Source organism: Homo sapiens, chromosome 1 (assembly GCF_000001405.40).
Source record: "Homo sapiens chromosome 1, GRCh38.p14 Primary Assembly".
NCBI lineage: Eukaryota > Metazoa > Chordata > Mammalia > Primates > Hominidae > Homo > Homo sapiens.
The window spans coordinates 118,572,940-118,574,703 of NC_000001.11; the positions used below are offsets into that span (position 1 = coordinate 118,572,940).

Below are 1,764 nucleotides of genomic sequence, written 5' to 3' on the forward strand. Positions count from 1 at the left end.
TCTCTAAACTTCCCTTCTCGCTTCATTTCATTCATTTCATCTTCTGTCACTGATACCCTTTCTTCCAGTTGATTGCATTGGCTCCTGAGGCTTCTGCATTCTTCACGTAGTTCTCAAGCCTTGGTTTTCAGCTCCATCACCTCCTTTAAGCACTTCTCTGTATCGATTATTCTAGTTATACATTCTTCTAAATTTTTTTCAGTTTTCAGCTTCTTTGCCTTTGGTTTGAATGTCCTCCCGTAGCTCGGAGTAATTTGATCGTCTGAAGCCTTCTTCTCTCAGCTCATCAAAGTCATTCTCTGTCCAGCTTTATTCCGCTGCTGGTGAGGAACTGTGTTCCTTTGGAGGAGGAGAAGTGCTCTGCTTCTTAGAGTTTCCAGTTTTTCTGCTCTGTTTTTTCCCCATCTTTGTGGTTTTATCTACTTTTGGTCTTTGATGATAGTGATGTGCAGGTGGGTTTTTGGTGTGGATGTCCTTTCTGTTTGTTAGTTTTCCTTCTAACAGACAGGACCCTCAGCTGCAGGTCTGTTGGAGTACCCGGCCATGTGAGGTGTCAGTCTTCCCCTGCTGGGGGGTGCCTCCCAGTTAGGCTGCTCAGGGGGTCAGGGGTCAGGGACCCACCTGAGGAGGCTGTCTGCCCATTCTCAGATCTCCAGCTGCGTGCTGGGAGAACCACTGCTTTCTTCAAAGCTGTCAGACAGGGACATTTAAGTCTGCAGAGGTTACTGCTGTCTTTTTGTTTGTCTGTGCCCTGCCCCCAGAGGTGGAGCCTACAGAGGCAGGCAGGCCTCCTTGAGCTGTGGTGGGCTCCACCCAGTTCGAGCTTCCTGGTTGCTTTGTTTACCTAAGCAAGCCTGGGCAATGGCGGGCGCCCCTCCCCCAGCCTCGCTGCCGCCTTGCCGTTTGATCTCAGACTGCTGTGCTAGCAATCAGTGAGACTCCGTGGGCATAGGACCCTCCAAGCCAGGTGTGTGATATAATCTCCTGGTTCAACGTTTTTTAAGCCCATCGGAAAAGCGCAGTATTCAGGTGGGAGTGACCCGATTTTCCAGGTGCTGTCTGTCACCACTTTCTTTGACTAGGAAAGGGAACTCCCTGACCCCTTGCGCTTCCCGAGTGAGGCAATGCCTCGCCCTGCTTCTGCTCGGGCACGGTGCATGCACCCACTGACCTGCACCCACTGTCTGGCACTCCCTAGTGAGATGAACCCGGTACCTCAGATGGAAATGCAGAAATCACCCGTCTTCAGCATTGCTCATGCTGGGAGCTGTAGACTGGAGCTGTTCCTATTCGGCCATCTTGGCTCCTCCCGGAGAAGAATCTTTAAAAGTAAAAAGAAGCTTGGAGTTTTATACTACCTGATTTGAAAGTTTTATATAAAGTCATAGCATACACAAAATTAACTGAAGGTGAATTCCAGTCATAAAATATAAAATCATATCAATGTTAAGATAAACATAGGAGAGTGTCTTTGTCGTTATTGAGCAAGCAATGATTTCTTAGCTAGGCCATACCAAGGACTAAATACAAAAGGAACAATTGTAAATTGGATCTGCTTAAAATAAAAACTTATTTGCAAAATCAGCAAGATGGCAGCATAGAAGTACAAGTTTCTAGTCCCTATCTATCCCCTCACCAATTTGACAATCATCCACAGATGAAAATATCTTCACAAGAGCTCCAGAATATAACCCACACAGTGCATCACTGAGAGAGATCCCTCAGCTAAAGAGTTCTCTCATGGGGGAAAAGTGAGAGTAAAGT

The 1,764-nt window shown here is 47.0% G+C and overlaps 1 annotated feature.

The window, feature by feature from the left end:
* Positions 387-950: an enhancer, noted in NCBI's record as "NANOG-H3K27ac-H3K4me1 hESC enhancer chr1:119115949-119116512 (GRCh37/hg19 assembly coordinates)". NCBI's record gives its function as "activates a minimal SCP1, AML or CMV promoter by ChIP-STARR-seq in naive H9 embryonic stem cells {active_cell/tissue: H9 hESC(naive)}" and the evidence as "EXISTENCE:reporter gene assay evidence [ECO:0000049][PMID:30033119]".